This window comes from Homo sapiens, chromosome X (assembly GCF_000001405.40).
Source record: "Homo sapiens chromosome X, GRCh38.p14 Primary Assembly".
Taxonomy (NCBI): Eukaryota; Metazoa; Chordata; class Mammalia; order Primates; family Hominidae; genus Homo; species Homo sapiens.
This window is the reverse complement of record NC_000023.11, coordinates 149496188-149518636: the sequence shown is the minus strand read 5'-3', so window position 1 is coordinate 149518636 and position 22449 is coordinate 149496188. Positions and strand designations below refer to the sequence as shown.

At 46.2% G+C, this 22449-nt stretch overlaps 1 protein-coding gene across 4 annotated transcripts in view, besides 9 other annotated features; it reads left to right on the top strand.

Moving 5' to 3' along the window:
* Nucleotides 6025–6319: an enhancer, noted in NCBI's record as "tiled region #15241; HepG2 Activating non-DNase unmatched - State 12:CtcfO, and K562 Activating DNase unmatched - State 12:CtcfO". NCBI's record gives its function as "activates a minimal TATA promoter and a strong SV40 promoter by Sharpr-MPRA in HepG2 and K562 cells {active_cell/tissue: HepG2 | K562}" and the evidence as "EXISTENCE:reporter gene assay evidence [ECO:0000049][PMID:27701403]".
* Nucleotides 7005–8204: an enhancer, noted in NCBI's record as "CDK7 strongly-dependent group 2 enhancer chrX:148591963-148593162 (GRCh37/hg19 assembly coordinates)". NCBI's record gives its function as "activates an origin of replication core promoter dependent on BRD2, BRD4, P300/CBP, MED14 and CDK7 cofactors, with strong dependence on CDK7, by STARR-seq in HCT116 cells {active_cell/tissue: HCT116}" and the evidence as "EXISTENCE:reporter gene assay evidence [ECO:0000049][PMID:35650434]".
* IDS (iduronate 2-sulfatase) overlaps nucleotides 13331–22449 on the top strand; it is a 28319-nt gene continuing 19200 nt past the window's right edge. For 3 of the 4 annotated variants that reach the window (NR_104128.2, NM_000202.8, NM_006123.5), the window contains exons 1-6: nucleotides 13331–13602; nucleotides 14344–14480; nucleotides 15148–15325; nucleotides 17600–17688; nucleotides 20330–20530; nucleotides 22121–22291. Coding sequence is in view for 3 of the 4 variants with exons in the window: in NM_000202.8 (NP_000193.1) it covers nucleotides 13500–13602; nucleotides 14344–14480; nucleotides 15148–15325; nucleotides 17600–17688; nucleotides 20330–20530; nucleotides 22121–22291 (879 nt within the window). In the remaining variant the exon portion in view is untranslated. The remainder of the gene's footprint in view (nucleotides 13603–14343; nucleotides 14481–15147; nucleotides 15326–17599; nucleotides 17689–20329; nucleotides 20531–22120; nucleotides 22292–22449) is intronic. The other variant, NM_001166550.4, reaches the window with a different exon arrangement.
* Nucleotides 13427–13586: an enhancer, noted in NCBI's record as "active region_30015". NCBI's record gives its function as "activates an Ori minimal core promoter by ATAC-STARR-seq in GM12878 lymphoblastoid cells {active_cell/tissue: GM12878}" and the evidence as "EXISTENCE:reporter gene assay evidence [ECO:0000049][PMID:35858748]".
* Nucleotides 13579–14080: an enhancer, noted in NCBI's record as "H3K27ac hESC enhancer chrX:148586087-148586588 (GRCh37/hg19 assembly coordinates)". NCBI's record gives its function as "activates a minimal SCP1, AML or CMV promoter by ChIP-STARR-seq in naive H9 embryonic stem cells {active_cell/tissue: H9 hESC(naive)}" and the evidence as "EXISTENCE:reporter gene assay evidence [ECO:0000049][PMID:30033119]".
* Nucleotides 14143–14242: a silencer, noted in NCBI's record as "silent region_21040". NCBI's record gives its function as "represses an Ori minimal core promoter by ATAC-STARR-seq in GM12878 lymphoblastoid cells {active_cell/tissue: GM12878}" and the evidence as "EXISTENCE:reporter gene assay evidence [ECO:0000049][PMID:35858748]".
* Nucleotides 14143–14752: a biological region, named in NCBI's record as "H3K27ac-H3K4me1 hESC enhancer GRCh37_chrX:148585415-148585963".
* Nucleotides 14204–14752: an enhancer, noted in NCBI's record as "H3K27ac-H3K4me1 hESC enhancer chrX:148585415-148585963 (GRCh37/hg19 assembly coordinates)". NCBI's record gives its function as "activates a minimal SCP1, AML or CMV promoter by ChIP-STARR-seq in naive H9 embryonic stem cells {active_cell/tissue: H9 hESC(naive)}" and the evidence as "EXISTENCE:reporter gene assay evidence [ECO:0000049][PMID:30033119]".
* Nucleotides 15567–22449: part of a biological region, named in NCBI's record as "IDS recombination region", that runs on past the window's edge. NCBI's record gives its function as "recombination_partner: LOC106050103".
* Nucleotides 15567–22449: part of a non allelic homologous recombination region, noted in NCBI's record as "sub-region b, recombines with sub-region b' within the IDSP1 recombination region", that runs on past the window's edge. NCBI's record gives the evidence for it as "EXISTENCE:nucleotide sequencing assay evidence [ECO:0000219][PMID:9801874]".

Genomic DNA, 22449 nt, shown 5'->3' with positions numbered 1-22449 from the left:
CACAACGCCTGGCTATTTTTTTTTTTTTTGTCTTTTTAGTAGAGACAGGGTCTCACTATGTTGCCCAGGCTGGTCATGAACTCCGGAGCTCAAGTTATCTGCCCGCCTCGGCCTCCCAAAGTGCTAAGATTACAGGCGTGAGTCATTGTGCCCAGTCTTGTTGGCAGGTTTTTTTGCATTGCTAATTCAATTTTAGAACTTGTTATGGTCTGTGTAGGCTTTTAATTTCTTCCTGATTTAATCTTGTGAGGTTGTGTTTTTCTAGGAATTTATCCATTTCCTCTGTTCCTAGGAATTTATCCATTTCCTCTGTTTCTAGGAATGTATCCATTTCCTCTAGATTTCCTAGTTTGTGTTCATCGAGGTGTTCTTAATAATCTCTGAACAGCTGGGCACGGTGGCTCATGCCTGTAATCCCAGCACTTTGCAACACTGAGGCAGGTGGATTGCTTGAGTTTGAGACCAGCCTGCGCAACATAGTGAGACCCTGTCTCTATTGAAAAAAAAAAAAAAAGAATAGTCTCTGAGGATCTTTTGTATTTCTGTGGGTTATAATGTCACCTTTGCTATGTCTGATTGTACTTATTTGAATCTTTTCTTTTTTTTGTTTGTTAATCTAGCTGGCAGACTATTAATCTTGTTTATCTTTTCAAATAATTAACTTTTTGTTTCATTGATTCTTTGTCTGGATTTTGAGCCTCAATTACATTTAGTTCTGTTCTGATTTTAGTTATTTCTTTCCTTCTAGCTTTGGGGTTAATTTGTTCTTGTTTTTCTAGTTCATCTAGCTGCAATATTAGATTGTTAATTTGAGATCTTTCTATTTTCTTGATGTAAGCATTTAGTGCTATAAACGTTCCTCTTAACACTGCTTTTGCTGCATCCCAAAGATTTTGGTATATTGTATCTCTGTTTTCATTTATTTAAAGTAATTTTTTTGATTTCTGCTTTAATTTTGTTTTTTACACAAAAGTCATTCAGGAGCAAGTTTGGTTTCCAGGTAATTGTGTGGTTTTGAGAGTTTCTCTTGGTGTTGATTTCTATTTTTGTTTCACTGTGGTCCAAGAACCTGCTTCATATGATTTCAGTTTTTTTGAATGTATTGGGACTTGCTTTATGGCTGATCACGTGATCAATCTTAGAGTATGTACAGATGAAAAAAATAGATATTCTATGGTTGTTGGATAGAGTATTCTGTAGATGTCTATTAGATCCAATTGTTTGTGTCAAATTTCAGTCCAGAATTTCTTTGTTAGTTTTCTGCCTCAATGATCTGTCCAATGCTGTCAGTGAGGTGTTGAACTCCTCCACTATTATTGTGTAGCTGTGTAAATCTTTTTGTAGGTCCAGAAGTACTTGTTTTACGAATCTGTGTGCTCTATGTTGGGTTCATATGTATTTAGGATAGTTAAGTCTTCTTGAATTGAACCATTTATCATTATATAACGCCCTTCTTTGTCCTTTTTTTACTGTTGTTGGTTTAAAGTCTGTTTTATCTAATATTAGAATAACAACCCTGGCTGTTTTTTTGTTTTCTGTTTGTGTGATAGATCTTTCTTCATCCCTTTACTTTGAGCCTATGTAGCCCCTATTTTTTAGGATAAAACACCTAAGATAGAAGAGGCTATCTTTTTCTGGAGGTTACAAAGCTGTACTTGTGGGAGGACTGTTGGAGGGTCACACATGAAGACTTGATCTGGTTGTTTTACTGTGTATTCTCCCCCAACATGTTCCTCTTACTTTTATCCTGAATATCATGCCTCCAGCCCCCACTATGACAAAAACAAAGATTGAAGGAAACTGCTGACCTAACACCAAAAGTCTCTGATGCCTGCTCTTGAAACTGCTCCTGCAAGAGACTAGATAAGCCCGGACCTCGGGGAAGCAGGGAGAGGTGGGAGAGAAGTGACTTGGCCAGGAGAAAGAAAAGGGTCTAAAGGTTAAGGAATTTTTGGAATGGGAAGGAGAACTAGAGCTTGACATGGCATGTATTAGGGGCCAAGTGGGATAGACTCCAAGGACAAGCTTCAACACTTCTGCCTGTCCCTAGCTGTCTCCTGCCCTGTAGGCACCTGCTGTTTGGACACTTACAAGCCCACTTAAGAAAATGGTGGAGGACTCAGATATCACCCCCTGTTTGACGGATACATGGGTAAAACAGAATCGGCAGAGTACTTTACCTATGAGCGGGGAAGAGGGGTCCAAGTGTCACTGTTACACTTCCCTGTTCTTGGCTTCCTCCCACCACTTCCCACTTTAGAACCCACAGGGCCAATTCTTGTAGTCAAATGATTATTTGTTTCCATATCTTTCTGCAAAGGGTAAGGCCAGAACTTGGTTAAAGGATATATTTGCTTCATGCTGTGTCTCGCCAAACATCTCTCTTTTATCACCACAGCCTTTATGTGGCTGCAAGAAGAATTTGGCTCCTGTGTCTGAGCCTGTCCTGGGAGTTGGGAGACATGGGCTCTCAGCACAGCTCTGCTGTGGAAACTGCCTGGGAGATGTAGGCTCCCAATTTGTTGGGAGTGTGTGTGAGTATAGGTGTGTGTGTGAGTCTGTGTGGAGGTAGAGGAGGGATGGTCCCTGGGACTGAGTTTCTAGGCTTCTCTAAGTCTTTGTCAGGTTCTTTAGCAACTTGCCTCCTACCATCTCCATGAAAGGAAGTGGTCACTCTGACAGATGAGATAAAATCATCCTCATGATGGAAAGAGAGTAAATGGAAGAGGGGCTCTGCTTTGATGGAGGTGCCTGCTTTTATGCTACCCCATGACCCAAACCTGGCACCATCAGTTCAAGTCCACTGAGGGATTGCTGGCAAGGGAGCTTTAGAGATTTTGGTAAACTATGAGATTTCGTCCTATAAAGGAAAGGGGTGTGTGTGTGTGTGTGTGTGTGTGTGTGTGTGTGTGTGTGTGAGAGAGAGAGAGAGAGAGAAAGAGAAAGCTACCCAGATAAAGATAGTCAGGCTGCTGTCCTCCACAGGGGAAGCAGGGCAGGAAGCACAGACTTTGTAGTTATAAACCTGGAATTGACCCCTGGCTCCATCACTCAATGGATGTGTGACTCTGAGAAAGTCACTATACCTCTCTGAGTTATAATTACCTCATCCAGAAGATGGGTACAATATTAACCACCTACCTGCAGGAGTAATGAAACTTCTCAGTCTGTCTCCTGGGAGATGAGATTCCTGTGGGAGCGATCTGTAAACTATAAAGCACAGTATTACTAATAGTGGTGAAGATACATTTCTGTTTTCCCAGGAATGACCTTTGAATAAGCGTGTGGGGATGCTGGCCTGAGCCTCAAAGCCTGTAGATGGGAAATGGGCAGATAGTGAAAAGCCTCCAGCTTGGGGAGAAGGAAGAAGAGCCGTGAGACCATAGGTTTCCAGTCCTGAAGGTCCTACAGGATATGGCCTGTTTGGGGACTTAGATTCCATCCATGGGTTATAACCAAATATGTGTAGTGGCTCCAGGCCAATAGGGAGGCAGTGAGAGTTCTGACTTGGGTAAACTGACAGGTTTGAAAATTGAAGGCTATTTCAGTACCAGGAATCTGTAAGGCGGGAAGCCTCTTTTTTGATCTGTGTGGAAATTGATGCCTAGGGCAATACATACCCATGATCTGTTATTCACAAAACCCTAATCCATAAAGCTCTGGCAAGGCTTTTTCATAAGCCTGCTCTAAATTCTCTTGCTAGTAAAACCTAAAATGGATGATACGAAACTGTTTATAAAATACTGAATTTTCTTCATTTATCATATTTTGTATTAATATTCATACATCTCACTGCTTAAATGTCAATGTGTTGGCTAGACTCTGAGAGGTGCTACTTACTGATCTGTACACTTCATCCCCTTTCTGGATTCTGAAAATTATCTGTGCATATGTGATACTAACACCAGTAAGAGCCACCATTTGTTGAGGCCTTGCAGAGGGCTAGAGTTCCTGGATATGTGCTTTTTCTCCAGCCTTGACCTCATGAGGACGCCCTTCCCAGGACAGGTGAGACTGAGGCCCTGCCCCGGGTCAACCTGGATGGCTGGATATTCCACCCTCTGACCAAATTGCACCAAGTGGGTGAAATCTCATTTAGTTCCATCCACGGTTTTCCTTGGAGGAAATTGGCTGAACATAGGGCTAAAAAAATAGGAAGAGCCCTTGGCAAGCATGTGTGTACACCAGTCATTTCAGATAACTGAAATCTGCCCGCAAAGTCTTCTGTCGGGAAATCCTGCACTCTGTGTGGCCTCCCAGTGCAATCACACAGAGCCTGGGTCCACCCACAAAATTCTGGGGTGTCACTTGCTTTAAGAGTCCAATTTTGAAATGTGGTCATGACACCCAGTTGCTACTATCATAGCATGTTCCTCACAGGTGCCGAGTGGGAGACACAATTAATTGCAGGAGATGAAGTCACAGGATGCTGTGCGGCAGCCTTCTCAACATTACTCTGCTGGCAGCTCTCTTTGTCCCTAGGAAGTTTGTGGTTAATTTTTGGCAGGATGGAAAGATGCCTGAAAGCAGCTTTTCAAGGGAAGTCTTGCTTTTGTTTTTGTGGTCTCCGTTTTTCTCCCTGACAGGAGTCCGAATGCAGACCTTATCATGACTAGCACCTGACTTGGGTGAACATTAAGGAGGCAAGATGGCTAGGTGACACCACTTGGCCACAAAACTGAAATAGTTAGCACAGGATCTGGCTTATAGCAAGTGCATGGCCCAGGGTCTCTTCATGGTGCTTATTGTGGTCACGCGTTCTGTCGTTTCCTTCTTCACCAAATCTGTGTAGAGCACAGGGGATAAGTGAGGTGGCTTTTCACTAGCTGAAACTGGGTTTGAGTCCTGCCTTTGTCACTTACTAGCTGTGTGACCTTAGACAGCTTACGTCCACTTTCTCATCACGTAACATGAGGATGGTAGAACCCACATCTCAGCATTGTAGGGCCATAAATTTCTTTAGACAGTGGTGCTCAGGGCTTACTCACTCAGACTTGGTAGCTAACAGTAATAACTTAGAACTAATCTGGATCCTGAATTGTAAAATGTACTTTTCCCCCATGTAAAATTGGGGTTTTCTGACAGCCTATGTTCTGGAAACTCTCTTGCCTATCCACCCCTGCTCTCAGCCTTGTGACCTTCCATGTGCCCTGGTTGCCTATGAGAGCAGATCATGGTTACCCTTAAAGCACAGGGCCTAGCAGCCCAGCCCAGAGCCCTGGCCCGTGGCAGTGTTGCATAGTGATTAAGAAGCCAGGGGCTATGAGACCTTGGGCCAGCAATGACCCTCTCCAAGCCTCAGTTTGTGCATTGCTACTCTGGAGAGAAAAGTAGTGCACAGTCCCTCGGGCAGCAGTGAGGATTCAATGAGTTGAAAAGTCTGGGATGAATTTGATCCGCAAAGATGTTATCGGAAAAGAATACCAAAACAATCCTGGTGTTGGGGTCTTTTGTTTGACTTTGGACCCCACTGTGGACTGACAGTGGTATGAAGAGTGCTAATGTCATCCTCCCTCCAGCCTGCTGTTGTGAGAACTTAATCTTTTTTTATTTTTATTTTATTTTCTTTGAGACAGGGTCTCACGCGGTAACCCAGACTGGAGTGCAGTGGCATGATCTCGGCTCACTGCAACCTCTGCCTCCCAGGTTCAAGCGATTCTTCCTTCTCAGCCTCCTGAGTAGCTGGGATTACAAGCTTGCACCACCATGCCTGGCTAATTTTTGTATTTTTAGTAGAGACAGGGTTTCACCATGTTGGCCAGGCTGGTCTCAAAAGAGAACTTATTCTTTGAGCAGCTCGTTGTTGATGTTGAAAACAAGTTACACTGCATGATGGTAGCCATAGATGGGGCCCTCAGGAAAATGCTCACAAAGCCCTGGAGCCTAGCCAGATGCATCACCTCAGTGCAGGGTGAAAACCCCCACATGGCACAGGCTGTGGCTTCAGAACTGAAAATATTTCACTGGCCCTTATGCATCTCTCTGAAGTTCACTAGCCATGATACAAGCCATGTGGGGCTCAGGAGAGCCAGCAATTGCTACAGCTTTGCCTCATCTGGGCTGGAGCTGAAGCAGGCTAAGAAGGCTAGGATCTGGAACTCCACAAGCTAGTCTCTGGCCAGGCAGGCAGAACCTGCTTCACAAAGGCCCAGTTGATTGAGTACTTTCTGGAGGCTGGGAGTGGGTCCCTCTGCTGGCTGTTTGTGGGATTCACATTTCCTGATGGGGCCCAGGGAAGTTTAGCAGTGGCTCAGGGTCACAGAGGAGCTAGGGTTGAAATCAGGCCTGTCTGATTCCAGAGTTCATACTTTTTTTTTTTTTCTTTTCTTTGAGACAGAGTTTCGCTGTTGTTGCCCAGGCTGGAGTTCAGTGGTGCAATCTCGGTTCACTGCAACCTCTGCCTCCCGGGTTCAAGCGATTCTCCTGCCTCAGCCTCCTAAGTAGCTGGAATTACAGGCGCCCACCACCATGCCACGCTAATTTTTTTGTGTTTAGTAGAGACGGAGTTTCACTATGTTGGTCAGGCTGATCTTGAACTCCTGACCTCAGGTGATCCTCCTGCCTTGCCCTCCCACGCCTGCTGGGATTACAGGTGTGAGACATTGTGCCAACAGAGTTTATACTCTTTAGACTGCCCTATCATGTGACTGCTTAGCCACCATCAATCAGAAAGGTGGGAACCAGGCAGCCAGCTGGGGGCAAGCTGGTGGTTTCTGCATTGGGATACAAAGTAAGGGTTAAGACTGGGGGCCTCGAGGCTTTGCTCCTGCCCAGGATTTAACTGCAATGCTTAGGCTCCAAGATTCGATGGAAAGAAATCCCAGCTGTGGGCTCTGAGGACTTTGAAAACTATGTTTCATATGTGAATACACTTGCCCTTTAGCAAGAATCTCCGCTGATAAGCCTTCCTCCTCTGAGTGTTTTTATTGGTCCCTTAGAAAGTGTTAGAGAAATTTCCCATTTTGATAGACTTTTTAATGATGTTACAAAAATATCATTTCACATTGATTCCACAGGGGGGACATCTGCTGCTTCCCAAATGCCACATTTCTTCAAATAAAAAGCAGAAGACAGCATGCAGTACATAAGGAACTCATGTCTTGGTAAAGACAAAATTGAAATTCTTTTAATAATTAGTCTCATGTCATAGAAAAGAGGACTGATTTTCCTCACCCACCCAGCAAGGTTGCTCTTCTTGCTATACTTGTTTGGCATAAACTACTGACTTCTTGCGAGCACTGATCTTAAGAGGGCCATGGTAATGAGTCACGGTAATTTGGCATGTCTTTGAAGATCCTTCCTCCTACACTTCTGTTTGTCCCCTTGAAGGCATCCTATTTCAGGCTGTGTTTAGCTATTCCTTTTGTTGATGCGTCCACTCATGCCTGAGGTATGTCTCATAACACACCTGTGAGAGGGGACCTTGGAGGAACGTCACCAAAGGCCGAGGAGCAATGTCTTTGCAGTGTTTCCCAGTCCATCTTGTCCTCTGGCTTTTACTTCAGAAGGGACACTCCTGCCTTGCTGGCAAGAGGGGATGGGCTTTGCCTTGAATTCCAGCTGTGGGCTCCGCTTTGCAAGATATCTGCTTGTCAGAACCTGAGACTGCAGGTGTGCAGGGTCTGGTCTATATGACCACGGGACAGGTCCCAGGTATATGACTGACAGGCCTGAGGGACCAGAAGCCCTTCTCCTTACCCAAGCCCAGATGGAGAAAACTTCAACTGTGAGAGCCCTCCTTTATTCCCAAACGGCCATCATTGTTTCCCTTCCCTGTGGCTTTTTATAAAGAAATCTGGGGGAGTAAGAATAAATCGTTTCTAGATCAAAGAGAAACAGCGAAAACCAGGAGAAAAGGCGGTAGCCAATGTACCCACTCCATTCAGATGAATGCAGTCCAAACAGAAAGACAGCCAGTCATACATCACTCAGTGACAGTGCAATGCAATACTTCCAAAGATCTGATTAGGCACTTCTGTTTTTCTTATTTTAAGCTTATGCTTTACAAAGTAAGTTGTTGTTTTTCGTTTTGTTTTGTTTTAAACGAATCGCCTTTAAAGTAGTGGGGGCAAAACACCAGAGCTTAGGCAACCCCTGGTGGAGGCTTTTATAATTCCTCTACTTTTTGGCTTTGACAGCATGAGGGTTGCCTGCTCTAAGCCCTGCCTATCCATCCACCCAGAACTGAAGTGGCTGAATCATTGCCTGGCATGACAGGAAAGTCTTGGGCTTGAGGGGAGAAAAAAAAAGAAAAGAAGAGAGGGAAGACGGTGGGACGAGAACTGGAAAGAAGAGGAAGGAAGGGAAAGATTGTTCAGAGGACGATGCAAGATGTCCACAGGCAAACGGGACTGAGACTAACCTCTTCCATTGTGAGAGAATATCTCAGCTCCTAAAGTTTTTGATATAGTATGTGATGCAGGGTAGGAGCCCAGCAAATGTCAGGGCTTCTGTGATGCCCAGCCCCTTGGCTGCCCCCTCATGCTCCATGCGGCTTCACTTCTTCCTGGGAAGTAAAACAGAATCAGATTCTGGCTGTGTTGCCATTCACTTTCACTCCTCTGGAACCCCAGGGAGCCTAGGGCTGCTACTGCTGCACCTTAGTCCTCAGGGTAGCACAGACCTGGCTACGGAACTAGATGCCTATGGATGACCATCTATACTCTCCAGAGTTCAGATTGAGAGCAGAGTTCTAGCACGTTGCCTCACGCACCTTGAGATAGTCTCTTCTGGGAACAGTGCCCTCCGTGCCCAGCGCATTTGGGTAACATTCACAGCCCACGTTAGACTCCTCCTTGGAACACCATTTCACGTGCCTACAGAGCCCAGGGCCCTCCCTATGACTCTGCAGGGGAGAGAGCCCTCACTGGCATTGGGCTGAGGACAGCCTGGGACACTCCCTTTCCTCATCCAGGTAGTTCTCATCATGGTTCTCATCCCGAGCCCTTGAAACCCCACGAAGGTACTAGCCCCTGGGATACAGTAGTAAATGGACAGGGCAGAGCCTGCCCTTGAGGGGTGCCCATCCAAGGATCCCTGGATCTGGAATGAGAGACAAATCTTGAATTCTCCCCTGAATCCTCATCCTACCATTGTGTGGGACTATATACCAATTTGCCAGTGTGCATTGTCCCCTCCTCCTGGAGTTAGGCTCAAAGGCGGGGGTAGGGTAGAAGTCCAAGAGCAAGGGGACTCCCTTTGCTGTATGGTACCCTAGAAGGTCCAGAGTCCTAGAACTCCTCTCACACCAAATCCACATATCTTAGCTGCAGAAGTGTCTGGAGCAGTCCCCTGAGCTTCCTGTGACACTAAAGTGGCATGGGAAAGCAGTTGAATTTTCCCGTGCCTCCAAGGAGGTAAGAGAGGGAGGGAGAGAGAAAGAGGGAAAGAGAAAGAGGGAGAGAGGGAGAGGGAGAGGGGGAGAGAGAGAGCGAGAGGGAGAGCACGTCTCCAAAAAATGTCACATAGAAAATGGCATGGACTGTGCAGCTAGGAACCAGGTTAGAATGACGACACCACATTGGAAGACAGCATGAAGGTATGCCATCTCTGAGCGCTGGATGGGATTGTACATTGGGAGTGGATGCTGGCATGGACAGGTTGCCATTGACAACAAGCAGATTCTCTTCTCTCTTGCTCTCTCTCTCCGAATTTAAGAGTCTCACAGAATTTAGGTGATAGGCTGGGGCAAAGGAGACAATCCTAAATTGCTTGATAACAATAATTGGTAATTAGTAAGACAATCCCGAAGTAACTGGGAAAATGTGGAATTGACTAGATTAAATTTTCTGTTATCTGTTGGAGTTGAGACTCAAGATAGGGCTCTTTTGTGGTAGATGCCATTCTAGATGGCCCCCAAGTTTCCTGCCTCCTAGTGTATGTGACCCCTTGTGTATGGGTAGAATGTACTACAATCAGCCTCCTTATCCATGTGTTCCACATCTGTGGATTCAACCACCTGTTGAATTTGAAAAAGATGGGTGGTTGTCTCTGCAGTGAACATGTACAGACTTTTTTCCCTTGTCATTATTTCATAAATAATGCAGTATAATAACTATTTACATGGCACTTACATTGTATTAGGGATTATAAGTAATCTAGAGGTAATGTAAAGTATACGGGAGGATGTGTATGTATGTTATATGTAAACACTGCACCATCTTATATAAAGGACTTGAGCACCTGTGGATTGTGCTATCCACAATCCCGAGCTTTAAGTGAGAATGTAGTCCTTCACTGCAGCCTTTTGAGACCCTGAACCTAAGACCCAGCTTAGCTGTGCCTGGATTTCTGACCCACAGAAAGTAGGAGGTGACAAATGAGTAGTGTTTACAGCCACTAAGCTTGTGGTCATTTGTTACATAGCATTGATTGGCCCTTATCCCTCATTCACTGAAGACTCAGGTACCAGGCTCACAGGTGACCTTGGTACCCTGTGTCCTGTCATCATTCTGGGGGACTGCAGTGTATTCATCAGCAGCCTGTGCCACTCACAGACCCTTGACTTCTTCCTCATCTCTAACCTCTAGCAATCTCTTCCCCCCCACCTCAGCCTCCCAGCTTCAAGGCCACATCCTTGACCTTTAAATCACCAGGATCTGTTTTACCTCAGAAATCTTAAATTTCAGGGTCTCATTCTGGGACTAAAACCAGTACTCTCACACCCTTGCTGCCTCTCTATATCCTCACCCATCTCCTAGATCTTTGTTTGTCCCCAGTCCACCAGTCTTCTTAACCACTGTCAGCCACCTGAACTGCTCTCTTACTGGCTCTCTCCACTTGCTCCCACTCTTGTCCTTCTGCTGCTATGAGCCCCAGCAAAACCTCGAGCTTACACCAGAGCAAACAAACAACAAAAACAAACACACACAATTGTGCCAAGTGGCATATATAATTTTCTATCCCAGCTGAGACAATCAATCTTGTTAAATTTTGAATTGTTTATAGGTAGTGTTAGTTTTCTAGGGCTGCTGTAACAAAGTACTACAAATTACATGGCTTAGAACAACAGAAATGCATTGTCTTACAGTTTTGGAGGCCAGAAGTCTTAAATCAAGGTGCCAGCAGGACCATGCACCCCCTGAAACCTATAGAAGAAGAATGCTTCCTTGCCTCTTCCTAGCTTCTTGTGGTTTGCTGGCAATCATTGGCATCCACTGGCTTGTAGATGCATCACTTCAATCCATTGTCTTCACATGGATGTCTTCTCTCTATGTGTTTGTGTCTGTGTCCAAATTTTTTCTTTTGATAAGGACCCCAGTCATATTGGATTAGGGCCCAACCCAATTACCTCCTTTTAACTTGATTACCCTGTTAAAGACCCTGTTTCCAAATAAGATCACATTCTGAGGTACTGGGTGTTAGGACTCCAACATACAATTTTTGGGGGGAGGACACTAACACCTAAGTCAAAAAGGACCAAAAGACATACCATACAAAGCAAAGGCCCTCTGCCCTGCACCTTCCCTCTTCTGTTCTCATTTTAAATGTTTCTACTTTCATTTCTTCTAGTAGATTGTCCCTGTCTTTCTAAATACTATGCTATTTCTATATCAACTTTCTAATGTTTTCAACTTTAGACATTGCTGACTTCTTCCTATGATAGATGAGATCACTTATCCATTCCTCTTTTTATGTACATATTTTTAACCTTGGATTTTGGAAATTGATCAAACCTATACAAGATTACAGAAAATAGTATAATAAACCCCAGGTGTTCATCAATGAACTTCATTGGTTATCAACTCATGACAAATTTTGTTTCATCTCTCCCTGCCATTTTCCCTTCTCCTTTTACTATATAGATTTATTGCCATTTTTAAGTTTTCTATTGTTTACTTTTGTATCTTTAAGTAATATCCCTAAATCTGTATTTCTCTTTCTATGAACTGGGGACAGCGACTATTGATTTATTATTATTATTATTATTATTTTTTTGCGATAGGCTGGGGCAAAGGAGACAATCCTAAATTGCTAACCCTAAATTAATGTGCCTACATTTCCTGCCATCTCCCTTCCTCCTCCCAGCTTTTTGTCAACTGTTGCTGCAGGCCAGGTTCCCAAGGAAGCTGACTAAGATGTAGAGTAATGTGCAGGAAGTTTCTTAGGGAGTACTCTTAGGATCAACACCTGTAGAAGGGGAGGGGAGGGAAGAAATCAAAATTCAACAGACAGAGAAAGTGGGCAGTCTCAAAAAAGGCTTCAGTTAACCCCACAGGGAGCTCTGAAGCTGAAATGGCCTTTCAGAGATGTCCCAAGTTGGGGTAAGGGGCTGCACCTTTGTACCTTCAAGTTGAATCACTGATGTGGGCTTCCTGAGAACAGGGGTGACCTTGGCTGAGGTACCTATCTTTTTCTAAGACAATTTCTGATGAGGGCTAACGACAGCTAACAGCTCTCAAGCCAGCTAGGGAAATAAAATTTTTGGTGTTGAAGGGAGATCTGAGCAGTGCACCACAGCACCATCACAGCTGTATTTGTACCTTCCCATTGTCCATTGTTGTTTAGTCATAATTAAGTCATCTGGGCTTTGTTATAGATTGATTCTCAAAGTTGAAAATCAAACTGTGTTTGCAGTATTAGGACGGTATAATAGTATTCAGTACAGTACAGTGTAGGGCTAGGATTCCATCTCCCCACAATTGCTGCTCTCTCTGTTTGGCGCACCCTTCTTGCAGACCTCAATGCGGCTTGCTCCCTCACTTGCTTCAAAATTTTGTTCAAATGCCACTTCACTAGTGAGGCCCTGCCTGGCCACCCCATAGAAAATAACAAGCATGCCCCGCACCCACGCTTTATTTTTCTCCAGACCGGGTATGCCCACCGACACTCTCTATATTTTTTTATTGTTTTAAGCTCCACCAAAGCAGGGACATAGAGCCCCAGTGCCACCAACAGCGCCTGGTATACATATTTGCGATACTTAATAAGAATTAGTTGAAGAAATGAATAGGAAAGGGAGTCCCTTTAGATGGAGGAAGGGACTTTCTCAAAAGGCCTCATGGAAGGAGAATGGCATTGAGGCTGGCTTACAAGAAGTGTGTCTTTTATAAAAAGAAGGAAGGGCAGGGCTTCCAGGTGAAAGGCATAGCACAAGCAAAGGCAAAAAGACGGGTAACTGCTAGTTGTTAAGGGCAGTGGCTGAATCGCTATACCCCTAGCAGTTCTACACCTAGGGGCCTGCGGGCCGCTGGGTCTGCGAAGCTTGCAAGGCAACTGGCCCGCCCCCGCTCTGCGCCTGTCTCTCGGCCACGCCTATTGCTGCAGGATGACGCGCACCTCTAGAACCCGCCCCGGAGGGGAGGGACGCAGGGAAGAGTCGCACGGACGCACTCGCGCTGCGGCCAGCGCCCGGGCCTGCGGGCCCGGGCGGCGGCTGTGTTGCGCAGTCTTCATGGGTTCCCGACGAGGAGGTCTCTGTGGCTGCGGCGGCGGCTGCTAACTGCGCCACCTGCTGCAGCCTGTCCCCGCCGCTCTGAAGCGGCCGCGTCGAAGCCGAAATGCCGCCACCCCGGACCGGCCGAGGCCTTCTCTGGCTGGGTCTGGTTCTGAGCTCCGTCTGCGTCGCCCTCGGATCCGAAACGCAGGCCAACTCGACCACAGGTGCCGCCCACGCCCTCCCTGCCATCTCTTCTCCCTTCCTCCCTCCCTTCCTTCCTCCTTCCTTCTTTCCTTCCTTCTTTGTTTATATCCATTCTTTTTACCCTTCCTCTCTCCTACCATTCCTTCTTTCATCCATCATTCGTTCCCTCCCTCCATTTTTCACTCCTTCCTACCGTCCCTTCATCCCTCCCTTCCCTCTTTCCATCTATTCATCCATCCATCTCCTATCCCTCCGTGCTTCCCTTCCTCTTTCCCCCCATCTTTCCCATCTCTATCCATCCATCTTTCCCCCTCCTTTCCTCCCTCCATTGGTCCATCCGTCCCTTTTACCTTCTATCCATTCATATTTCTCTCTCTTCTCCCCTCCTTCTCTCCATCCTTTCTTCCCTTCAGCTATTCATCTTTTCCTCCTTATCTTCCTCCATCCAACCATCTGTCCTTTCCTGCATACATCATTCTCTTTTTTTCCTAAATTCATCTTTCCTTTCCACCATCTTTCACTCACTATCTCGCTTCCTCACCCAGGTTGGAGGCCATGACCAAAGCCTAACCCTGCCACCCAGGACTCAGGCTTCCTCCTCGAGCCCCACTCCCACCCTTGCTGAGGCACAGCGCCCTCCCTGGCTAGGCTGTTAAGGTGCAGGGTCCAGCCTTGGGCCTCTTAGTAACCTAGCACCTACCATGAGGGAGGGTTCAGTGTCAGTGCAGGTTACCTCACCAAAGCCCCTCCCTCCTGTGTAGATGCTCTGAACGTTCTTCTCATCATCGTGGATGACCTGCGCCCCTCCCTGGGCTGTTATGGGGATAAGCTGGTGAGGTCCCCAAATATTGACCAACTGGCATCCCACAGCCTCCTCTTCCAGAATGCCTTTGCGCAGGTATGTCTGGGAACCTCTAGCTGTGGGTGTGTGCTGCTTCGTGCACTGAGGGTTGGGGGCGGGGAGCTTCAGCTATTGTCAGATGGCACAGATTGTGCGGGACATCTTGTTAGAGGGAAGCATAGTCTGGAAAATGGTAGTGGAGAAAATCTGGTTTTCCACTCATGGGAAAGCTTGACCTTCAAGGGTGGCCTTCTCCTTGGGTGCAAGGTGCGCCCTGGCCCTGATGTGTTCATGGCAGCCCTGGCCAGCTTTCTCCCAGAACGGGCGCTTGCCTGGTGCTCAGAAGGAAGGGGTGCTGCAGAAGGGCACCCACAGGTCTGCAGGCTGGGCCTCAGGTGAGAGCTAGCCAGGGTGGCCCTGCTCCCTGAACCCCCTCATGGCTCTGCCCCCAGCAACACTGGCCGCTCTGTGTGCCTGGGGAGGCCATTGCGTAGGAGGAGATAAGCATCTGCTGGTTTCAGGGGCTGATTGCTTCCCTTTTCTCTCCCGGAAGCAGTCTGTTGCCTAGGTGACACCCAAATCCCAGTGTCTGGTTTGAGCTCTGCATGACTCAGCTACCAAGCTGTTTGCTAGGAGCCTCGGGAGGGCGGTTGCTTGGTTACCTAAGAGATGGCAGACATGTTTTGCTGTGGCGATGCTTACCTCTGCTTCTGCTCCCTAACAGCAAGCAGTGTGCGCCCCGAGCCGCGTTTCTTTCCTCACTGGCAGGAGACCTGACACCACCCGCCTGTACGACTTCAACTCCTACTGGAGGGTGCACGCTGGAAACTTCTCCACCATCCCCCAGTACTTCAAGGAGAATGGCTATGTGACCATGTCGGTGGGAAAAGTCTTTCACCCTGGTACTGCTCCATGTCCAGAGTCTGGGTTCTCTTGGTTTGTGGTGTCTGAATCCAGCATTCCCATCCTGGGGATGGGGCTGTCTTTGCAGAGCCCTCTTCTGGCTGGGCGAGTCCCTCGCTAGTCAGTGCTTCCTTTCTAAAAAACTGACTTGTCAACCCAGCCACGTTTTCACCCAAAGTGAAAAAGGGTAGAAAGAGCTTTGCTTCCTTTCAGAAACCACTGAGGGTGTGCTGTTGGGTCTTTCAGCTCCTCGGGTGGTAGGGAGGACACAGGCTGGGGAGGTGGCAGTGTTGGGTGGAGTCCAGCTCAGGGCCCCACCCTCTCCCCTGCAGGGTACCTGTCAGTAAACCTAGGGGTGGGGTGAGGACACCTGAGGGCCTCCCGTGTGGCCAGCATTGCTGTTGCTGACTTATTGCCCAATGAGGGGGCTGTGCTTAGGTAGGGGCTGCTATCCACTCTGGAAATTAAGTCAGAAAGATGAGTGTAATCTGGTACCCAGGATCTATAGGGTCCCAGAGACGGACATTCCTTACCTCAAATGCTGCCTGATAAACTGGCTCTCTTTAATGCCAATATGGGGATAGTGAAAAGCAAACAAACTTTAAAACTTTTTATTTATAGAAGTAATGCATGAGTATTTGAGAAAAAAAATGGAGAAAAAAGTATTGGAAGACAAGAGCACCATAGGGACAATAATGCTTATCATTTGGGAATGACGAATGTTTTCAGTCTCTTTCCCTTTGCTCAGTGGTTACACCGGCAGGCTTGGCAGCCTTCTGCAGGAGCTCAGCTGGCCAGCCCAGGTTGAGAGTGACATTCAGCTCTACTAAGTCAGGCCAGTTTCAGAGGTGAACCTGTCAGGAATCATATTGCACAGCCAAAAGTCCAGTGTCAGGAGAACTTTCTGCAGTTTGGTGTTCTCATTACCATACCCCTTGCCCAAATGCAGCTGGAGGGAAGTGATGATTTTGGAGAGAGGAGGAAACACAGCAGAGGGAGGAGATTGTGCTTTGGGAGGGGAAACCAGGCAAGGACTGAGTGATGTTGCTTGACCTCCTCCCTCCTGATGATTGGATTTTGGCACCAGGCTCTAAGCACCATGTCCTTCTCAGAGAATAAACCTTTCCCTGCAGCCCTTGTGGGAACACATTTTTCAGCTGAATCTTTGTTCTCAAGACCTTTTTCTGTTAGCATTGGGCCTGCTTCAAGATGACAGTAGCCACCACTGTGTGCCAGGTATGTACCGTTTACCATGCTGGCCACTCCTTTAATCCTCCCAACAGCAAGCAAGGTGGGTTTTTATCATCATCATCATTTCCCAAGGAAGACATGAAGGCTCATGGGAGTCAAGTAGCTTGCCAGAGGTTGCAAGGATGCTAAGAGGCAGCATCAGGATTTGGACCTGTGGTTGTTGGCTTCCTGTGTGCTCTTTCCACAGTGCTTGCTGTCTTCATAGGCCCTCCACCCGCTGCCCTCTTTCTCTCCATTCCTGTCTCTTCTGGTACTCCCTATGGGAGTCCCACTGTGTGACTGCTGCTGATGCTTTCTCACGAGGTTCTGCCTGTGATCCCCTCCACTCCCAGCTAACCACTATAGGCAGCACTTCCCTTCAGATCCCTCACAGGCCTCACTGGCTCCTAGAAGTCCTCCCTGCCAGTCCTCACCTGACTCACAATAACCTCTGTGCTTGGAGGATCCCCCACTTGGCACTTCGATGCTTTTGAAAGCTGGAAGTCCTTCCTTGGTTTCCAGTGCTGTTATACTGTCTTCACAAATAAACTATAAACTACTAAGCTTAAGGGTGGGTTTCTGCTTCATGAATGAGCACTTGAACTTGGAATTCTAAAACAAGGTTTTGAGTCCTGGCTCCCTTATCTAATATCTGGTTAGCATAGGTAAGTCACATACCTTCCCTGAGCCTCCCTCTCCTGCCCCCATCGGCTCCCTGATGGTGCTGATGCCTCTGCTGCCTCCTTCATAGGGTGAGAGATAGGTTTCAGCATGGGCTCTAAGGAGCTGACTGATCTTGTCCTTGTGGGTCCCTTCCACAGAGCCTAGCACAAATCATCAGGGCTTAGGGACCAGGAAGTCAGATGCTTAGTTCTCAAATAGAAACTAGAGAGTTTGGCTTTAGAGGGGACCTTTTGTAGATGAGGAAACTGAGCCCCAAAGAAGGGAGGTTCCACTTGCCCATTTGTTTACAGAGTTTTAATTATGGGGAGTGGGGTGTTGAAAGACTCATCATGTTTTAACAACCTTTTTTTTTTTCCAAGGGATATCTTCTAACCATACCGATGATTCTCCGTATAGCTGGTCTTTTCCACCTTATCATCCTTCCTCTGAGAAGTATGAAAACACTAAGGTAAGGCTGTGAAAGGGACATTTCTGAAGAGGAACCACTTTTTCCTTTGTCACATAAACTACTGGGTATACTGCATGTTCTGTGAAGCTGGTTATATACCACGAAGTTGTGGGTTTCATTTGTGATAATGTTTTGACAGAAGTAAGTGTTGGGATCTTCAGCATTAGGCCCGACAGGAGCAGTGGCTTCATTCTAGAAGCTGGTGGGTGCTACTTGTTCTAAAACCTTGGGCTCTAACGTGTCAGACTCATTGAATAGCTCCCCAGTGCTCACGCTGGATGAGACTGAGAGTTGTAGGAGATGCTGAGACATGGGAGGGAGAAAAGAGGCTGAGCTCCAGGAGCCTCAGCCCAGAATGGGAGAAAGGCATGCCGTGTATCTGTCTCTGACCTAATGTGTATGTTCAGCAGCTGAGACCTCTGATAGGGGTTTTGAATTTTTAGAGCATTATGAAAAAAAGTAACCTACAAAGAAAATCTTGGTTTAGAGGAATCCCAAATGTATAAATGAAACTAAAACCCACATTTAAGAAACTCAGAAAACCAGCTAGGGAACTGAGACATGAAATGTATCTCTGAGGTTTTAGTAAACATCGTGTTGGGAAGGGTGAGGATTTGGAAGTGAGGTGGAAGGTATTGTTCTAAGTTCTTGACAGCTTTCCATTTCAGAATACAGTGAAAACTGTGAGCTCTGGCCTTTGGCTTGTGGCTTGAATAGGGAAGATCCCATCTTAATTCCCTGAAGCCATCTTGCTTCTTTTTAGTGGCCTCACTTACGAATGCCAGGTCCCTGCCCTAACTGCCCCCTACCCATTTCTTCTCAAAGTGGTGGGTCTGACAATACTAAATCTCCCTCGAGTGCTGCAAATCGTGTATATATAGATGATGAACAAGTGGTCTGAGGCGGGTGCTGGGCTGTCCTGCCCAAGGGTGGGGTGAGCAAGGCAGGGCTGTGAAAAGGCAACACTCTTTGAGATGGAACAGCAGCTGACACAGCCCCTCGGTCTTTGTGGTATACAAATCATGGTCAGAACTAACTTTGGTCTCACGGCCAGCATGTCTACTTTAGGAAGCAAAGCAGGAGGTTTCATTCTGTGCCTAGTGTAGCTGAAGTTCTGGAAATTCCATGGACTGTCACCTTATCAAGTTGATTGGGACCCTGTCACTTACAAGCCTTAGCCTGTCTTTGAAATTTGAAATGGGTTTTTTTTTTCTTTTTAAATTTTTAATTAAAATAGAGTTCATATACCATAAAACTCTCCCTTTTGAAGTATATAATTTAATGGTTTTTAGCATACTCACGGAGCTATGCAGCCATCACCCAAATCGATCTTAGATCATTTTTATCGCTCTCAAAAGAAACCCTGTACCCATTACCAGTCGTTCCTCATTTTGTCTCAGCACCCAGCGTGGGACAACAACTGAACTATTTTTGGTCTCCATGGATTTGCCTATTTTGTCCATTTGGTATAAATAGAGTCATACACTATGTAGCCATTTGTTTCTGGCTTCTTTCACTTAGAATAATGTTTTTGAGGTTCAGCCACATAACAGTATAAATTGGTACTTCATTCCTTTTTTTTTTTTTTTTTGAGATGGAGTTTCACTCTTGTCACCCAGGCTGGAGTGCAATGGCGCAATCTCAGCTCACTGTAGCCTCCACCTCCCAGGTTCAAGCGATGATTCTCCTGCCTCAGCCTTCCGAGTAGCTGGGATTACAGGTGCCCACCACCACACCCAGCTAATGTTTGTATTTTTAGTAGAGACGGGGTTTCACCATGTTGGTCAGGCTGGTCTCGAACTCCTTACCTCAGGCAATCCACTCATCTCCCAGAGTGCTGGGATTAGAGGTGTGAGCCACCGCACCCAGCCTTTCATTCCTTTTTATGGCTGCATAATTGTCTATTGTACCACATTTTGTTTATCAGTTCATCACTTGATGGATATTTGGGTTGTTTCTACTTTTGACTATTAGGAATAATGCTGCCCTCGACATTTTTGTACAAGTGTTTTTATGGGCATATGTTTTTAATTTTTTTGGGTATAATAACTATGTTTAACTGTTTGAGGAATTGCCAGACTGGCTTTCAAAGTGGCTGCACTATTTTACATTCCCACCAGCAATGTGAGAGGGTTCTAATTTTTCTGCATCCTCGTCAACACTTGTTATTTTCCATCTTAAAAAATTATAACCATCCTTTTGGGTGTGAAGTGGTTTTGATTTGCATTTCCCTAATGACTAATGATGTTAGCCACATTTCCATGTTCAATTGGCCATTTGTATATCATCTTTGGAGAAATGTCTATCCAAATCCTTTGCCCATTTTTAATTGGCATTTTTTAATTGTTGAATTAGAGATGGATTTTTTTTTATAATTAGTCTATCGGGGTTTCTTTTAATTAGTTATGATCTGGAGAAAGAGTATTAGTAGCAAGAAACCAAGTGCTAGTGGATTTCTGGCCCCTGCCTGGAAAACAAGAAACACCTTTTCTGTCTTAGTTCTACTTCTGATGTCTCTGTTCAGTCTGAGTGACTAACACGTGAAGGGCTGATTATGTGAACATTAAATCTGTGTGTGTAGCCTTCATGGCTTCATTTCTTGCACTTAAAAAGCTGATGTTATATTATTTTGTTTTGAAAGACATGTCGAGGGCCAGATGGAGAACTCCATGCCAACCTGCTTTGCCCTGTGGATGTGCTGGATGTTCCCGAGGGCACCTTGCCTGACAAACAGAGCACTGAGCAAGCCATACAGTTGTTGGAAAAGATGAAAACGTCAGCCAGTCCTTTCTTCCTGGCCGTTGGGTATCATAAGCCACACATCCCCTTCAGATACCCCAAGGTGAAGAGCTGGTTGAGGGCTGATCCAGCACAGCTGTGACAGCTGTGTTGTTTGTTGAGGGAGGGATTTGCACAGGGAAGGTGGCTACATCCTGCCATCGCCAGGCACCATGGTTGCCTGATGGGCACTAGTGTCCTCAGTGGAGTAAAGATGGGATTTAGAGGTCAAGGCCAAGAACATGTAAGAATCTTGTAAGAAATGCTTGGCTTTCCGCTTCACTCCACTGGAGGGTTTGATTTCCTTTCCTTGAACTTATTGAGCAGATGTTGGGTTGGATGGTGAGATCACCACAGAGTAGTGAATCAGAGCTGGCTGCCAAAGCCTGTAATAAGGGATGGCCCTTCCAAAACAGCCCCAGGGAATGTGAAACTCTCTTCAAAAACTGCCTGTTCCCCCTGAGCCTGTCAGGTTAGATCATCTAAACACAAAGCACTGCATTGCTTCTTGGAACCTCAAATCCTGTACTTGCTTGTATGTCATTTAGAGCATGTAGTCTTTTCTGTTTTAGAATCCTTTTCCATTTTTCCCTATCATGTTTTATGAGGGCCTGAGCATCCCATCCTTTTGACTTTGCAGAGAATGCCCCTCACATGTAATGAGAGTAGAGACCAGCAGTATGCTCTTTGATGTTGCAGGTATCTTGCTTTGATTGGCCCAGGGGATCTTGCTTTCCTAGTAGGAGCTGTCAGCCCCCTTGATAGAAGAAGGCTGTGAGGTTCACCTCTCCTGCCTCTTTGCAGAAAACAGTTAACAAAGCTGGCCTGGCTGTGATTCTTTGAAAGGCCTGCTTATAAGTCTAGCCCTTGGCTGGCATCTGGGAACTTTGATTTCTGAAGTGTTCTCACTATTCCCAGAATTGGCTTACTATGCTTAAACCGTTTAGACAAACATTATGGTTGATGATAAACCCCTGGGTTTGTTTTTTTTTTTCTGGGAGCCTGGAATTTTGATATGTTCCAGACAGATAGTACCTACCTGACCAGCCCCAAATAAAAACTGGATAATGAGGCTTTAATGAGCTTCCCTAGTTAGCAGCATTTCACATGTATTGTCACACAACTCGTTGCTGGGAGAAGTAAGTATCCTATGTGACTTCCCTGGAAGAGGACTTGAAGCTTGTGCCTAGTTTCCTCTAGACTTTGCCTCATGTGCCTTTTTTCTTTGCTGAGTGTGTTTCACTGTAATAAGTCATAGCTGTGAGTGAGACTAAATGCTGAATCCTATGAGTTCCCCTAGTGAATTGCTGAACCTGAGGGTGGTTTTGGGAACCCAACACCTCACCACACTTTTCTAGCCAGGCAGGAGGTGGGGACAGGAACAGAAGGGCGTCTGTTTGTATGAAGGAAGAGAGTTGTTGCTGCTCAGTTTGTAGGAAACAGAAGTCGTATGATTTCATTGCCATTGGCATCTCATGAGAGTAACTTAAGGCTGGACTTCCAGGTCAGGGCCGAGCACGTGGGGAATGCTAGTGAGCCACCACTCAAATGCATCCCAGGCTTAGAGAAAAGGCAGTATAGACAGTGATAGAGCCACAAGCTTGTGCTTTTGCTAAAAGAGTGACAACTTTGTGGCTTTGTGTTTTTCCCCAAGGAATTTCAGAAGTTGTATCCCTTGGAGAACATCACCCTGGCCCCCGATCCCGAGGTCCCTGATGGCCTACCCCCTGTGGCCTACAACCCCTGGATGGACATCAGGCAACGGGAAGACGTCCAAGCCTTAAACATCAGTGTGCCGTATGGTCCAATTCCTGTGGACTTTCAGGTATCAAGGACATAGTTTGGGGATGTATTGGACACTGATGACATAGTGTCGTAGGTGAAACCACTCTTCTCAGTAGACACAACTCCACCTATAATGTCTTATTAAGAGCTTTCTTTGTGTGAGTTATCAGGCAAAGTGCTGGGGTGGAGGTGTCCTAT